Here is a 16,365-nt window from a genome sequence, read left to right as displayed (position 1 = left end):
ATCTCTGTGTGTGTGTGTGTGTGTCTGTGTGTATCCTGCTCGTTTTCTTTTTCTGGAGAACTAAGACTAATGTAGTAATATATACCACTTGCCAGTCTTTGTCTCTATGCTTTTAAAAGGTATGTAATAAATAAATAAAACCCTGGAGGTTTCTCAAAGAAGAACAGCAAAGGAAATGAATTCTGACAGGTTTTGCACTGAGGACATTCAGGTGTGAGGAAAACATGAAAACCACTATGCTAGGGAAAGCAAATGCTGTTGAGAATGTCTCACAAACACAACTTACACGTCAGTAGGTAGGTTTGACCCTCAGAGTGGGCACATTTTACTCTAAGTGCACTTTCGGTGAAACTTAAGATGAATCTAGGACTCTCACGATGGACGTATTTCTCTCTGTGTGTATACATATATCTATAGAGAGAGAGTGTGTGTATATATTATATATATATAATATATATACACAGAGAGAATGTGTATATATATATTTTTAATATATATATATACACACACATATATATATATACACAGAGAGAGAGAGAGAGAGAGAGAGTCTTACTATCTAATCCAGGCTGGTCTCCAACTCTGGGCCTCAATCGATCATCCCGCCTCCCCCTCTCAAAGTGCTCAGATTACAGGCGTGAGCCACCTCATCCAGCCCATTTTCATATTTTTAATTTAGTTCAACCATTGTGCAAGACACTGTGGCGATTTCTCAAGGATCTAGAATCAGAAATACCATTTGACCCAGCAATCCCATCACTGGGTATATACCCAAAAGATTATAAATCATTGTACTATAGAGACACATGCACACGTATGTTTATTGCAGCACTATTCACAGTAGCAAAGACGTGGAACCAACCCAAATGCCCATCAATGATAGACTGGATAAAGAAAATGTGGCACATATACAGCATGGAATACTCTGCAGCCATAAAAAAGAAGGAGTTCATGTCCTTCACAGGGACATAGATGAAGCTGGAAACCATCATTCTCAGCAAACTAACACAGGAACAGAAAACCAAACACCGCATGTTCTCACTCATAAGTGGAAGTTGAAAAATGAGAACACATGGACACATGGAGGGGAACATCACACACTGGGGCCTATAGGGGGGTGGGGGGCAAAGGGAGGGATAGCATTAGGAGGAATACCTAATGTAGATGGTGGGTTGATGGGTGCAGCAAACCACCATGGCACATGTATACCTATGTAACAAGCCTGGACGTTCTGCGCATGTATCTCAGAACTTAAAGTATAACAATTTTTTTTAAATTTAAGTACACATTCCAAAAATTATATAACAAGTACAGGAAGCCTCCTTTATGCCAGTTTTACAAAAACAGAAAAGATGATATATCAATGACAAGGCATCAAAGTGGCAACATAAAGTAGTGAGAGAGAGAAAAAAAGTTATTTTGGAATTCTATGCCACAATGAAAAATCTCTAAAAAATGTGACTGAAATAAGGACATTTAAAGACATACACATGCGCAGTGGCTCACACATGTATCCCAGCACTTTGGGAAGCCGAGGCGGGCGGATCACTTGAGGTCGGGGAGTTGGAGACCAGCCTGGCCAACATGGCAAAACTTCGTCTCTACTAAAAATACAAAAATTAGCCAGGTGAGGTGGCACATGCCTGTAATCCCAGCTACTCAGGAGGCTGAGGCATGAGAATCACTTTTACCCAGGAGGTGGAGGTTGCAGTGAGCCCAGATCATGCCACTGTACTCCAGCCTGGGTGACAGAGTGAGACTCCATCTTAAAAAAATACAAATAAAAATAAAAACATACAAATAAATGAAAGCATTCACCGACCCACACTACAAGAAATGTTGAAGGAGTCCTCCAGGCCTAAGGATAAGGATACCAGACAGAAATCTGAACCTACACAAATAAATGGAGACGACTGGAAATCGCTATGTATGTACTTAGATGTTGGGGTTTATAACATGTCTAAAATCAAATGACATGGCAACACTAGCATAAAGGCCAGAAGGGAAGGTATAATGTCACTTGAGGGCAGACTGATAAAGATATATTCTAGAAACCTTAAAGCTATCACTGACATAACAAAAGAAAGAATTATAGCTAATAAGCCAAAAAAGGAAAGAAAATAGAATGATATAAAAAACCATGTAATCACTATGCTGGAGCAGCTGCTCTCCAGGCCTCTATCCTATAGAAATACACCAGTGGCCAATGAGAAGTGTACAAGAATGATGACTGCAGCATTGTTTGTAATCATAAAGTAATAGAACCAACGTAATTTCTTTCTTTCTTTCTTTCTTTCTTTCTTTCTTTCTTTCTTTCTTTCTTTCTTTCTTTTTTTTTTTTTTTTTTGAGACAGAGTCTCCCTTTGTCGCCCAGGCTGGAGTGCAGTGGCGCGATCTCGGCTCACTGCAAGCTCTGCCTCCCAGGTTCACGCCATTCTCCTGCCTCAGCCTCCCGAGTAGCTCGGACTACGGGCGCCCGCCACTACGCCCGGCTAATTTTTTGTATTTTTCAGTAGAGACGGGGTTTCACTGTGTTAGCCAGGATAGTCTCGATCTCCTGACCTCGTGATCCGCCCGCCTCGGCTTCCCAGAGTGCTGGGATTACAGGCGTGAGCCACCGCGCTCGGCCAAACCAACGTAATTTCAAAGATACATGAAAAGGTTTTATTTATTAAACAAACACAACAATTTAACAAACAAACAATGGAAGCAAGTCCTTATGCCAAAAGGAACACAGAGGGTCATGATGATGCTACTCCTCCAAGGATGTCAGGGTTCCCAGACGCCTAGTTTTCGGTCTAATTTTTCTGGAAGATCTTATTCTTGGGGAGCTACAGATTCTCACGTTTGGGGCTCTTTCAGGTTCTATCTCCGTTTTCCCCTCAATTCCTCCCCATTCTGCTACAATAAAAAAACAATTCTCACCTCCGGAAGATCCCGCCTCTGCCTCCGCACGAGCCTTTCAGGTCTAGATGTCTGGTCTACCGCTCTCCGGCTTCTTTCCCCGCTTTTGCTTTTCCCTTCCCCCGCTCCCGCCCTCCAGCCCCACGACCCGACCACTGTCCAGCTGAGCCCCCGCGGCTCCACTGCGCAGAAGGTGCACTGGAAGCCCTGCCCGTTGCCCGCCCCGCGGGGTGCCGAGAAATCAATCTGAATAAACGTTTCGTAAAAAGAACTTCCCCCATGGAAAAATCTCTCATGATTTCCATTCTCAAGACTCTTCAAAGGACTAAAAGATAAAGGCGACGACGGATTCATTCAACAAGTCCTAGTCGTGCGCCCTGGTGAGTGCCAGACCCTGCTCCCCGCGAGGGGATCCACGAGCGACCCTCACCACGATCCCTGCCCTGGTGGAGCCCCGGTGCCGAACGCAGGATCCGAAGAAGGCAGCGGAAGCTCTGCAGCGCCCCGAATGCGACTGAGCAGGGAGGGCACAGGCTCCCTCACTGGGTGAAGGCTGTGCAAAGAACGGGAAGAGCCATCCCGGGAGCCCACCAGGCGTTCAGCTTCCCTTGAGCCCCCTGGCTGCTCGAACCCGGGTCGCAGACCGGGGCGTTTCCGGGGGCTTCTGAAGCAGGCGAGGGGCAGGGCGGGCGAAGGCCATTCGGCTGTCCTTCTGGCTCCAGAATCTCCTAACGCGCAGGTGTCCAACGTGACCAGCGCGATTCACCGCTCTAATCGCTCCGGTTTTCCAAGGCCTTGCTCAGTCATCCTGCCGGACAAGCCCTGAGGCTGGAAGGCACAGGGGAAATTTGTTGAAGGCGCCCTTCCCATAGCGCACAGTAAAAGCAGTAGTTCTTGTCTCTGTGGCGCAATCGGTTAGCGCGTTCGGCTGTTAACTGAAAGGTTAGTGGTTCGAGCCCACCCGGGGACGCTTGCTCTAGCTTTTAAAGCGTTCGTGTATTATCGATCACTAGAGAATCTCCCCCGTTCATGTATTATCGATCACTAGAGAATCTTCCCTTTTTCTTCCCATAGTCCTAAGTCCTATAGGTTCCAGGCCAGCCAGGGATGCTTACTGCAGGGAAGGTTTTATCTTCTCAGGATTCTAGGCACAGTTAACAGAGATCCCTGTCAAGGGCCATTCCCCACACTCCCCACACCCTCGCCTCACAGATCCGATTCAGACAGAGAATCTCCTGAAATGTCATGCTGTCTTGTGCCTGTGTACAAGAAACAGAGACCAAACGAGTCACTTCTGGTGCCGACAAAATCCTCATGCTGCCCCTTATAGGCTTGGATGGGTTATATGCCAACCTTAATTTTTTCATTGTTAATAGGAGGCCTAGAGAGATATCCTATCCCCAGGATGGGCCTGGATTTACTGGTTGCTCTATCAATACTATGGATAGAAAGTGGAATCATTCATCATCATAATAATCCTCTTCATCATTTTTGAAAACAGCATTTTTTTATCAGTCAGTTTGTGCATGATTTATTTAACCGTTTTCAAAATGTGTTTGAAATAAGGTTGGCTTCATGGTTTTAGGATTTCAGAGAATCCTGAAATCATCACTCTTGTACACATATCTTTGGCCACTGATAGTTCTATACTAGCGTAGAGAACTGGATGTGCCACTGCTATATTACAGGCTTTTTAATTTTTATTTTTAGTTTTTGTGACAGGGTCTCATTCTGTCTCTAAGGCTGGAGTGCAGTGGCCTGATTGCGTCTCACTGTAGCCTCAACTTCTCAGGCTCAAGCGATCCTCCCATCTCTCAGCCTTCCAAGTAGCTGAGACTGCAGGAGTGGGCCACCATGCCCTGCTAATTTTTATTTGTTTTGTAGAGAAGGGGTTTCACCATGTTGCACAGGCTGGTCTCCAAACTCCTGGGCTCAAGCAGCTCCGCGGCCTTGCAAAGTGCCAGGATTTACAGGCATGAGCAACTGCAACGGGTCTTATGTAATGCCTCTAACTTCAGCACTTTTAGCAAATTTATCTTCTGCGGGAGAGGTATCAAATCATATTCCAATTTATTTCTCAACTCTAATACTGTCCCTTTCTTCATTTACTTGCTGGCACAACAAACTTTCTCCCCCTTCCCCCGCTTTTTTTAGACTAGGTCTCACTCTGTCACCCAGGATGGAGGGCAGTGGCGTGATCTCAGCTCACTGCAGCCTCCACCCCCTGGGCTCTAGTTATCCTCCCACCTCAGCCTCCAGAGTAGCTGGATCTGCAGACATGCACCACCGCATTCAGCTATTTTTTTTTTTTTTTTTTTTGTAGAGATAGGGCCTTGCTATGTTGCCCAGGTTGGTCTCCAACTCCTGGGCTCAAGAGATCTATGTACCTCAGCCTCCCACAGTGCTGGGATTTCAGGCGTGAGCCACTGTGCTAGCCATGAGCCCATGATATTCTAATAAGGGGACAGGTGCCTTCCTGGCTTAACTAAGGGGATGATACAACAGAAGGACATGGTGGACATGACACATAGATATTCTGCTGCATAGGATGGACAGCTAAACTTCTAAGACATTTTATTTTATTTTATTTTTTGAGACAAGGTCTTTCTCTGTTGCCCAGGCTGCAGTGCAGTGGCACAATCATAGTTCACTGTAGCCTGAACCTCCTGGGCTCCAGTGATCCTCCCACCTTAGCCTTCCAAGTAGCTGGGACTACAGGTATGCACCATCATACTTGGCTATTAAGAAAAATAATAATTCTGTAGAGATGTGGTCTCACTAAATTGCCCAGGCTGGTCTCCAACTGCTGAGCTCAAGTGATCCTCCTGCTTCGGCCTCCCAAAGAGCTGTGCTGAGATTACAGGCATGAGCCACCATGGTTGGCCCTGTTTCTTTTTAAAATTTAATTAATTTATTTTGAGTCAATATTTTATTTTCTCTGGAAAGATAAAGGGAACAAGTTTTTTCCAGAAACACACATATGGTATGGGCCCAGTGATACCCTGATCCACCCCTTAGGCTTCAATTACCCATTTTAAAGTAGTTCATAAGCTGACTCGTTGGAATTCAGACAAAATGATAGCATGGGGAAAGCAGTGTATTGAAAATCATCGCCTACCATTGTGCAAAAGGTTTATTCTTGCTGTACTTTCTGTTCTGTCCCAAACATAATCCTGGAAAACCCCTTCATGTGTCACAGGGACATTGTATCTTTAGGACCTTTTGAGACATGGCAGTTAGACTTTATCCAGCTGTCTCCATCTCAGGGTCACAGATACTTTCTGGTGCTAATTTATACGCGCTGTCGCTGGAGTGAAACATTTCTGTGCCAATGAGCCACAGCCCAAGCAGCTGGTAGACTGTGATTAGAGAAAATCATTCCTCATGGGGAGTGCCATCTGATCTCCATAGCAACTGAGGAACACACCTTATCAGTCAGATAGTTGGATCCATTTGTAACGTTTGACCTATGTCCCAACATTTCCATTGTGCCTATCACCCCTAATCCTCTGGACTAGTGCAACTTAATAATGATAAGATAAAAACTCAATTGGCAAAGCTAACAGAAGTTTTTAACCTTCCCTGGCCAAAGATCCCCCACTGTTTCTGGAAAACTTTCACTCCCTCCCTTTGAAATTAGAACAGGAAGACCCATGCAGTGGTTAGATGAAGGGGCTTATGAACCTGCACTGCACTTCTTAAAGGTAACATTCTCCATTATTTCTAAGGTCTCACAAAACTTCTTATGAAGAGCTCCAAATTAATAAAGGATGCCTTTCATAATGAGCTGATGGGAGATGAAAATATCAAAAACTATGCCTATAAACTGGAGATGTCGCTTACTGGAAACAACATCAAATAAAATACTCCCTCCAAGTCCACTGGAGGGCACCACGTAGGTATTATTAATATTAATTTATTTTTTTGAGATGGGGTCTCACTCTGTTGCCCAGGCCGGAATGCAGTGGCGTAATTATGACTCAATGTAGCCTTTATCTCCTGGGGTCAAGCCATCTTCCTGCCTCAGTCTCCCAAATAGCTGGGACCAGAGGTGTGGGCCACTGCACCTGGCTCACATCAGGTATTATTGCCTAATCTCTGTGGCAGTAAATATAAGGGCATTGACACACAGATTCATGTTTCTCATATCTAAAAGGCAACCCTACCAGAGTGGACATCTGTCAGTGGAGGTTTTCACTTAAAGGTGACCTGCCATCTTCCTGACGAAGATGGCAAGTAGCTGACATCTGTTGTAGCCCACTTCCACCCAAGATACTGGCCTGTATAACCAGCTGTTCACAATTCCAGTGCTCACTGCACCTGGAAGAGTTAGTCTCTTTTTCTCTTGACTGGAATACATACACCATCAGGGCTCCTTTAAGTTGTAGGGGTCGTATCCTATTGGTTTTGGTAAAATCAGCCTATATGTATATTCTCTAAAGATATGACACACTAGTCCTATTGCACGTACATGTATATACATATACATACATACATAGCAAAATGCCTATGATCAGATTTCTGTTTTACTGTCCTTAATTAATTTGATTACATCAGGGAGGGATAATTCTCTGATCAGAATCTCACAAACCATTGCCACTGTGGGAAATGTGACAAGGTGCTGGGTTTGCCACCTTAAACCACCAACCACTTTTGACCATAATGACCCATTGGTACATCCTGTGCCAAATTTCACCTGTATTCCTCCTGATTGAACTCACGATGCAACTCGGGGTTACATCAAGCAAAACCTGTTTATCGAATCTGTCTGACTCATCCTAACCTTCCTGCCGTACGTCTCAGTTTAACCCATCATAATTGTACTGTCAAAATAACTGCCTGTAATCCCAGCACTTTGGGAGATCGAGGCAGGAGGATCACTTGAGCCCTGGAGTTTGAGACTATCTTCCTGGGCAAAATGGTGAAACAATCTCTACAAAATATACAAAAATATACAGTTGGGTGCATGGTGGCACCCAACTGTAGTCCCAGCTACTCAGGAGTATGAGTTGAGAGGATGACTTGAGCCCAGGAGTTCGAGCCTGCAGTGAATCCAGATGACACCACTGCACTCCAGACTGGGCAAAAGAGTGAGACCCTGTCTCAGAAAGTAAATAAATAAGCTGGGCGTGGTGGTGTGTGCCTAACTCCAGCACTTGGGAAGCTGAGGTAGGATGATTCATTGAGCCCTGAAGGTCAAGAGGTCAAGACTGTACTGGGCTGTCATGTTGCCACAGCATTCCAGCCTGGGCAACAGTGAGACCCCGGTTGCAAAAAAAACCAAAGATCAGAAAGAAAACGAACAAAAAATTGTTGCCTCACTCTGAAATGACAGTGGTAAACACCATGATGCTATTGGAAAGTTAAGAGAAAAACACTCCCTCCTGCTATCAGGATCCAACCTGCCCTCTTGCTCTAACATGTCTGACCCATGCATGGTTTAAATGCCGAAAGCTGATGTACCCAAATTATACTACACTTACCTGTTGTGCACCAGCATTTATTTGGTCTGTGGAGGAGATCACCATCCATGGCCCTTAAATGTCTAAAGACATGGAATGATGAAGTGCAATGTCTTTTAGGATATTTGGTCATGCCTATATATATATATAGCTCTGAAGAAACCCAACATTGGATGAGTGGGGAGGCCGAGGCGGGTGGACCACCTGAGGTCAGGGGTGCAAGACCAGCCTGGCCAACACTGTGAAACCCCGTCTCTACTAAAAATACAAAAATTAGCTGGGTATGGTGGTGTTCACATGTATTCCCAGCTACTCAGGAGGCTGAGGTAGGAGAATCACTTGAACCTGCGAGGCAGAGGTTGCAGTGAGCCAAGATCATGCCACTGCACTTCAGCCTAGGAGACAGAGCGAGACTCCATCTCAAAAAAAAAAAAAAGAATTGGATGAGTGTCCTCAAACTTTTCACTAGGCATGCCCACCACTCTATTTTATTAATAGATGGAGATCCTATTGGGAGAAAACTTGCTAATTACCTGCCTGACCATTAAGAAAGTAGCTCCATACATTTTTGGGGGAGCACGCTTTTGCTTTGATGGGATGTTGCTTCCCGTGGTTCGAAATCCTTCTTTAACCTTAGGTAACATTGCTGATAAAAACCGGGCATGGGGGCTCTGGCCTATAATCCCAGTGACTCAGAGGCTGAGGTGGAAGGATCACTTAAACCCAGGAGTTCCAGGCTGCAGTGACCTATGATGGCGACAGTGCACTCCAGCCTGGGCGACAGAGCCACTCCTTCTCTCTGAAAGAAAAATAAAGAGTCCAGGCTTGGGGGCCTATGCTTGTAATTCCAGCACTTTGAGAGGCTCAGCTGGGAGGATTGCTTGAGCTCAGGAATTTGTGACCATTCTGAGCAAGATAGCGAGACCCTGTCTTTCAACAAACAAACAAAACAATCAAACAAACAAAAACAAAATTAGCCAGGCATAGTGGTGCATGTCTGTAGTCCCAGCTACTCGGGAGGCTGAGGTGGGAGGATTGCTTGAGCGAGGGAGGTTGAGGCTGCAGTGAGCTGAGACTGCACCACTGCACTCTAGCCTGGGCAACACAGCAAGACTGTGTCTTAAAAAAAAAAAAAAAGAAGAAAGACAAAAGAAAGAAAGAAAGAAAGAAATATTGCTGATGAAACTGTAGCCTCTTTCACAGCTCAACAAAAAGCTATTTATTCACTGGCTAAGATTGTACTAGATAATTGCATTACTTTAGATGATATATATTTTCAAAGACAATATTATTCTTATTTAAAAATGGTTAGAACCTGGGCACGGTGGCTCATGCCTGTAATCCCAGCACTTTGGGAGGCCGAGGCAGGTGGGTCACCTGAGTTCAGGAGTTCGAGATCAGCCTGGCCAACATGGTGAATCCCCATCTCTACTAAAAATACAAAAATTAGCTGCACACAGTGGCGTGTGCCTGTAGTCCCAGCAACTTGGGAGGCTGTGGCAGGAGAATCACTTGAACCCAGGAGGCAGAGGTTGCAGAGAGCCGAGATTGTGCCACTGCACTCCCGCCTGGGAGACAGAGAGAGAGCCTGTCTCAAAAAACAAAACAAAACAAAAACAATGGGTAGATACAGCAGCACTTACAAGAGTTCATAAAAGGAATTGTACATTGTCAAGTGATAGTGTGGAGAGAGCAGCCCCCTGCCCACCTGGTTGTGATCTCTGCACAACGCTTGCCCACAACCACCTTCTCCACTTAGTACAACGCAGCCCAGAACACCAAGGGGAGAGCCCCAGCAACAGCAGCCTCCGCAGCCCGCTTTAGATGATAGATTTAGCTGAGCAGGGAGGTGGATGTGTGGTGTTTACAACCTCTTGTTGCGTATACAAAAATAAATACTCCCATGACGTAGAACCTCATCTAGAAAAAATTAGAAGTCATTTGGCTACAAGAAATCATGAAAGAAGAACTGGGATGTGATGTTTTCCCTGATGTTTTTTCGTTGGCTCCCTAATGGAATAGGTTCCCTTACTGTTCTGGCATACGGATTCTCTTTGTGATTCTCATTCTTGTGTGAATTATATCTGTGCTATTCAAATTATTAATGTTATATATTTCCTGTTTTACTTCTGAGAAAACTGATTTTATGGTATCTGAAGACGAGAGATGATTAAACAAGTGACAGCTGTAGATTTAACTGAAGTCTCTCTCTCTTCTTTTCTTTTCTTCTTTTTTTTTTCTACTCTGTGACGTACTTTCAATTGGGCTTTGGGGCGCTCTTAAAAATTCCTCAGTGAGGCAGCTCCTTTCCTCCCCTGCCCTCACTGTGGGAAAGACTATCCGGGAATGAGTGTTCCTGGCAAAGAGGGACACCTTGGCTGAGCTTTTGATCATCTATGCTTTAAAGAAGAAAGATTTTTAAAAGAATTTTTATCTGAGGAATGTGAGCCACTTCACATGATCAGAGAGACATTAAATCAAGACAGCAACCACTTTCTGCTTCCTTCCTTTTGAGCTATGTATTCATCTGTTGCAACTGCTTGCTATCACCCCAGGTAGCTGTAAATTAATCTAATAATGCCACACCAAACACTGTATCCCACACCCTATAACAAGGGATAGCCAAGCTCTCATCAATGCTATTTCTGAAAACCAATGAGAATTCCTGACAGGCACCTTTCTGTCAGCCCATTGTGCATCCCCCCTTTTGACCTTTAAAAACCTGCTTGTGACAAAGGCCAAAGGGAGCTCAGATCCAAGGTTCTTTTGGTGTGAGTCTTCCAGGCAGCTGTCTTCATGTTGGCTCAAGTAAACTCTAGATTCTATTTTGTGCTTCAGCCTCTTTCTTTTAGGTCAACATGTTCAGCAACAGTAGAATAAATAAATAAATTGGCCTATATTCATACAAAGGAATACACACAGAAACAAATAACCACATGAATAACATGAAAAATTCATAGATGTAAGACTGAGTGAAAGAAGTCAAACCTATGCCTCTGCTCCTGAGACCGACTTTGCAAAAATTATAACTGGGAGAATTATCACAGCGAAAGAGATCTGACCTAACTGCTTCCGTCTTGCTTCCAGCATCCAAGCTGTCCTTGTTCATTCCTGGGCACAGGCCAAAATAACTTTGAGAGGAACTTAGTTTATGGTTTAGCTGTGAAACAAAGATGATAACAGCCCTTTCCCAAAACAAATCCCCTTCCTGCCTGGGGAGTAGACTGCCTTTGCAGGACTAACAAATTAGCCACAAGATTAGAAATGATGGTTTAGGATCATGCAGCCTCCAACTTATGAGATTCTAAACCTCCCTGAATTGTGCCTGGGGATCACATCACTATTGTAAAACCTAAGATCAGTGCGTGAGGTATTTTGTAGCCCTGCACTTGATGCATCAGCTGGCACCACCCAGATGGATAAACCAGCTCATCTGATCTTGTGGCCCCCACCCACGAACTGACCCAGCTCAAGAGGATGCTTTAGCTCCCTTTGAGTTCATCTCCGACCTGACCAATCAGAACTCCCAACTCACTGGCCCCCAGCCACCAAATTATCCTTAAAAATTCGGGTCCCAGAATACTCAGGAAGACTGATTTGGGTAATAATAAAACTGGTCTCTCACACAGCTGGCTCTGGGTAAATAACTTTCTTTATTGCAATTCCCCTGTCTTGATAAATTGGTTCTGTCTAGGCAGCAGGCAACATGAACCCATTGGGCAGTTATATTCCCCCAAAACCCACTATACACTTTATGATTCAGTTTATATGAAAGCAAAGGACAGGAAAAACTTGCCTGATAGATTTGGAGTCTGTGGAGTATTGTCAGAGTTTGGTGTTGTATTCTACAGATTAAAAGTAATCTGTTAAGCACCTCAAATAAAGTTTCCCCCAAATATATATATATTTTTTCTAAATTTGGACCACTTTGTTTCTGTCTTTGCAGAACATAAAGTGTTAACATGAGGTAAGTGCTAAGGTCTGGAGAAGGCCGTGGAAGAGATGACAAACTCCAGCATCATGCCCGAGTGTCCAGTGTGCTCTGCTGGGGCAGCATATTTGTACATTGCTGTATTTGAAAGAACCCTACAAGATTCCTGAAATTGGACCACCGTCCTTATAACACTACTAGTGGTAAAACAAGTAAGGATGGCTGGTTTGCAGTCATCTGAGCAGCCTCTCTAGTTTCATAGATATGGTTTCTCTGATATCGAACGGCTTCCAATTTCAAGTAGAATGCTACATCACAAGGATAATGATGTGAAGTGAACCAGTTTCTTGTGTAATCCTCCATGTTTTAGTCTGCGCATTACAAGCCATTATTTGAAGAAGGGTGGACAGGCTCCAGATTTCTGCCAAAGAGGTCCTCGGCAACACAGGCTAAGAACCGGCTTCTGGGCAGTCGTGATGGCTCACGCCTGTAATCTCAGCACTTTGGGAGGCCGAGGTCGGCGGATTACCTGAGGTCAGGAGTTCGGGATCAGCCTGGCCAACATGGTGAAACCCCGTCTCTACTAAAAACACAAAAATTAGCCGGGCTTGGTGGCGTGTGCCTGTAATCCCAGCTATGCGGAAGCCTGAGGCAGGAGAATCGCTTCAACCCGAGAGGCGGAGGTTGCAGGGAGCCGAGATCATGCGACTGCACTCCAGCCTGGGCGACAGAGCGAGACGGCGCAAAACAAAAAACAAACAAAAAACTACAACAGAAACACCCGCTTCTTTGGGGAAGACCATGGGCGGGGAAGAGAGGGAAAGGAGGCAGAGGCAGACATCACTGCCCCCGCAGGCTCTGGCACCATGTTGGTCGGCTGAGTGGCGGAGGGTGGGGCAGAAAAGCAGACCGGGACGAGGAAGGCGCTGTCGGTGACATCACGGATAGGGCGACTTCTATGTAGATGAGGCAGCGCAGGGGCTGCTGCTTCGCCACTGGCTGTTTCACCACGAAGGAGCTCCCGTGCCGTGGGAGCGGGTTCAGGACCGCTGGTCGGACCTGAGGGTCCCAGCTGTGTGTCAGGGCTAGGAAGGCTCGGGGGTGCGCGGGGCAAGTGACCATGTGTGTAAAGGGTGAGGTATATGGAGCTGTGACAGGGCAGAAGTGTGTGAAGTCATACTTACCTGGCAGGGGAGATACCATGATCACGAAGGTGGTTTTCCCAGGGCGAGGCTTATCCATTGCACTCCGGATGTGCTGACCCCTGCGATTTCCCCAAATGTGGGAAACTCGACTGCATAATTTGTGGTAGTGGGGGACTGCGTCCGCGCTTTCCCCTGAATTTTTGTAATGAAAAAATAGACTCCCCTATAAGGGTTATTCTTAAAACTGCAGTTTTGTGGCTTGGGTGGCATGTTAAGTGTTCTCCTTACAGTCGCAATGATGGGAAACAGAAAGTAACGTGTTATCCTCTCCGCCGCCGTGAGCTCTTTTAACACTAAGTGGCCGCAGGGCTCTTCTCTTCCCTTTCTACTTGGGGCTGCTTTTTGCAGATCGCTTCATAGTCTCCAGTCTTTTGGGTTCTCATGCTCTGTGAAAACCTTCGTGTTTTTTCATAGCCCCCAGAGTCACCCTTCACACAGCCTCTGCTTCTAACCGCAGCCTCCGCAGGAGTTTGTAGGATGTCTGTGCTAGCGGGGAATGTGTTCTCACCTCCTAGAGCCAGGGAAGAAACTACGCAGTCGGGTGCTGTTCTTTGGGATGAAAGCAGGGTCCCCGTTCGGTTGTTAACATAACACGCTTGCTTTCTGTAGGGGAAGGGAGGTCTCTCCCGGCGCCCAGGTGCCCTTGCTCATGTTCACCGAGGCCTGCAGGTCAGAACCGCAGTCTCACCTGTCGCCAGAATGTGCTGCGATCTACCCCAACTACCCGAACTACCCAGCAATAAAATAGGACACATTACGGAAACATGAAATAGCGTGGATCATCTCAAAAACATTATGCCGAGTGATGAAAAGAGTGCACCCTGTGTGGCGCCATCAAGGTGAATTTCTACAACAGTTAAAACTAACCTGTATAGTGACAGAAACTACATCATTGACTGCTGGCCTCAGGGGGAGGGCGGAACTGACTGCAAAGGGCACAAGAGGACCTTTTAGAGTAATAGACACGTCATCAAACTTGAAATGGATGCATTGTACCAAAGTCAACTCACACCTTAATCAACCTGATTGTAAAAGGGAATAAGAAAACCACTCCAAATCTTAATGTCTTCTACTTAATTTAGTGTACGTTTATCCTTAGAAGATTCCTTTAGAAAAATATCTCTCTAACTGTAATCGGGAGTTGAGGAATTCCTTCGTTTCTGTTTCTGTCTCTTTGTCTGCAGTTAAGTTCATGCACTATTAAATGGAATGTTTGTAAAATAAAAATAGAGTCTCAGCTAAATTTTATAAAAGCATACATATATGCGTCTTTATTATTTTATTATTTTTTCAAGTATATATATCCTTCTTTATTATTTTTTCTTCCTTTTTCTTTTAGGGATAGGGACAGTCTAGCTAAAATATACATTCTTCTCCCTGTAGATGTACCACAAGACTGTAACTCCAGGGTTGCCCAAATGTTATGAGAAGTTATTTTTGAACGTAAGGTTTTCAAAAATTTTACATATGTTTACATCTTCTCTACTGTTAGTATGGTCTATGCTTAGCATGTATAGTTTAACAATGATTTGGAAGAAAAATATGTAGGTATGTTAATAGTAGTTAATTCCAGGAGGTGTGAATATGGATGACTGGTTATCTTCCGCTTTATGAATTTTTTATATTTTTAAATGGAAAATTCTCAATGACCTGGAAGTTAAAGAACAGATTAGATATGGAAGGGGTGTAGGGTAGGTGAGAGGAAAATGTAAAGGGAAGGACAAACCCAGTTCTGGCAGGACCATGTTTAAGTTGAAGGTTTCTGGGGAGAAGTTGTTGGGATAAGAAGGATACGAAGGAGGCAGGAGAATCATGAAAATATTTAGGACAGTGTATTTATTGCCTGTCTTATCATTCCTCCTCCTTTTGTGTTTCTTCCAAAGAAATACACAGACTTATATTTCTTTTCAAGCATGCTTACCATTTGTGTTTCTCTTTTATTAATGTAACTGCCTGGTAGGTTTATCTTGCCCATTGCCCAGGTAAGCCAATGGAGCTGAGAACAGCAGGCTTTCTAAAATAGAGAAAGAATTTAATAAATGCAGAGGCAGCTGAGGGACCAGGACAGGGGTTTATTATTACTCAAATCTGCCTCCCCCAAAATTCAAAGACTAGGGTTTTTTTTTTCTTTTTTCTTTTTCTTTTTTTTTTTGGATAGTTTGGCAGGCAAGGGGCTAGGGAATGTGCAAAGCTGATTGGTTGGGTTGGGGATGAAATCACAGTGTCAGAGCTTGTTTACTGCACTGAGTCAGTCCCTGAGTGGGGGCCACAGGACCAGATGAGCCAGTTTACCGGTCTGGGTGTGCCAGCTAGTCCATCATAAGGCAGGGTCTGAAAAATACCTTGAACACCAATCTTAGGTTTGACACCAATAATCTTATATACAGGCACAGTTGGGGAGCTTAGGAATCATGTGGCTTCTGGCTGCATGGCTCCTGAGCCATAATTTCCAATCTCGCACCTAATTTGTTAGCTTTGCTAAGGAGATCTGATCCCCAAGATAGGAAGGAGTTTGTCTCAGGAAGACATCTTTGTTTCAGACTTAGACTTGGAACTAAACTCCTCTCATAGTTAGCCTGGCCTATGCCCAGGAACGGACAAAGGCAGCTCAGAGGTTAGAAGTAAGATGCAGTCAGTTAGGTCAGATTTCTTTCACAGTCATAGTTTTCCTATGTCAGGTTTTTCTCACTGTCATAATTTTTGCAACGGTGGTTTTGTTAGGAGCAGTATAAATGCAGTGGTTCTGAGAATGTCTTCTGGAGACAGGCTGCCTTCACTTCAAATTCCTGCTTTCAAATCCTCCTTTGCTGGCTGAGTGACCCTGGACAGGTCACTTAACGTCTTTGTGCATCTCACATGGAAG

General features: G+C 44.7%; 2 non-coding genes and 1 pseudogene across 3 annotated transcripts in view, besides 7 other annotated features; 2 read left to right on the top strand and 1 right to left on the bottom strand.

Annotated features, from left to right (window-relative positions):
• The window catches only part of PDE4DIPP1 (PDE4DIP pseudogene 1), a 45,476-nt pseudogene extending 42,388 nt beyond the window's left edge, over positions 1-3,088 (bottom strand). Inside the window, exon 1 of the transcript NR_146087.1 lies at positions 2,926-3,088. The product of NR_146087.1 is annotated as a PDE4DIP pseudogene 1 (transcript). The remainder of the gene's footprint in view (positions 1-2,925) is intronic.
• Positions 3,263-3,764: an enhancer, noted in NCBI's record as "OCT4 hESC enhancer chr1:147520877-147521378 (GRCh37/hg19 assembly coordinates)". NCBI's record gives its function as "activates a minimal SCP1, AML or CMV promoter by ChIP-STARR-seq in primed H9 embryonic stem cells {active_cell/tissue: H9 hESC(primed)}" and the evidence as "EXISTENCE:reporter gene assay evidence [ECO:0000049][PMID:30033119]".
• On the top strand, positions 3,801-3,874 carry TRN-GTT9-2 (tRNA-Asn (anticodon GTT) 9-2). Its single transcript has one exon. It is a non-coding gene; the product is annotated as a tRNA-Asn (tRNA).
• Positions 12,493-13,034: an enhancer, noted in NCBI's record as "NANOG-H3K27ac-H3K4me1 hESC enhancer chr1:145969873-145970414 (GRCh37/hg19 assembly coordinates)". NCBI's record gives its function as "activates a minimal SCP1, AML or CMV promoter by ChIP-STARR-seq in naive H9 embryonic stem cells {active_cell/tissue: H9 hESC(naive)}" and the evidence as "EXISTENCE:reporter gene assay evidence [ECO:0000049][PMID:30033119]".
• Positions 13,061-13,597: an enhancer, noted in NCBI's record as "NANOG-H3K27ac-H3K4me1 hESC enhancer chr1:147511044-147511580 (GRCh37/hg19 assembly coordinates)". NCBI's record gives its function as "activates a minimal SCP1, AML or CMV promoter by ChIP-STARR-seq in primed H9 embryonic stem cells {active_cell/tissue: H9 hESC(primed)}" and the evidence as "EXISTENCE:reporter gene assay evidence [ECO:0000049][PMID:30033119]".
• Positions 13,061-13,660: a biological region, named in NCBI's record as "NANOG-H3K27ac-H3K4me1 hESC enhancer GRCh37_chr1:147511044-147511580".
• Positions 13,421-13,660: a silencer, noted in NCBI's record as "silent region_1283". NCBI's record gives its function as "represses an Ori minimal core promoter by ATAC-STARR-seq in GM12878 lymphoblastoid cells {active_cell/tissue: GM12878}" and the evidence as "EXISTENCE:reporter gene assay evidence [ECO:0000049][PMID:35858748]".
• RNVU1-7 (RNA, variant U1 small nuclear 7) lies at positions 13,474-13,637 on the top strand. The gene has a single exon (NR_004426.2). It is a non-coding gene; the product is annotated as an RNA, variant U1 small nuclear 7 (small nuclear RNA).
• Positions 13,598-14,133: an enhancer, noted in NCBI's record as "NANOG-H3K27ac-H3K4me1 hESC enhancer chr1:147510508-147511043 (GRCh37/hg19 assembly coordinates)". NCBI's record gives its function as "activates a minimal SCP1, AML or CMV promoter by ChIP-STARR-seq in naive H9 embryonic stem cells {active_cell/tissue: H9 hESC(naive)}" and the evidence as "EXISTENCE:reporter gene assay evidence [ECO:0000049][PMID:30033119]".
• Positions 13,751-13,860: an enhancer, noted in NCBI's record as "active region_1636". NCBI's record gives its function as "activates an Ori minimal core promoter by ATAC-STARR-seq in GM12878 lymphoblastoid cells {active_cell/tissue: GM12878}" and the evidence as "EXISTENCE:reporter gene assay evidence [ECO:0000049][PMID:35858748]".

Source organism: Homo sapiens, chromosome 1 (genome assembly GCF_000001405.40).
Source record: "Homo sapiens chromosome 1, GRCh38.p14 Primary Assembly".
Taxonomy (NCBI): domain Eukaryota; kingdom Metazoa; phylum Chordata; class Mammalia; order Primates; family Hominidae; genus Homo; species Homo sapiens.
Note: the sequence above shows the minus strand (reverse complement) of the source record. Positions and strands in the feature narration are given on the sequence as shown.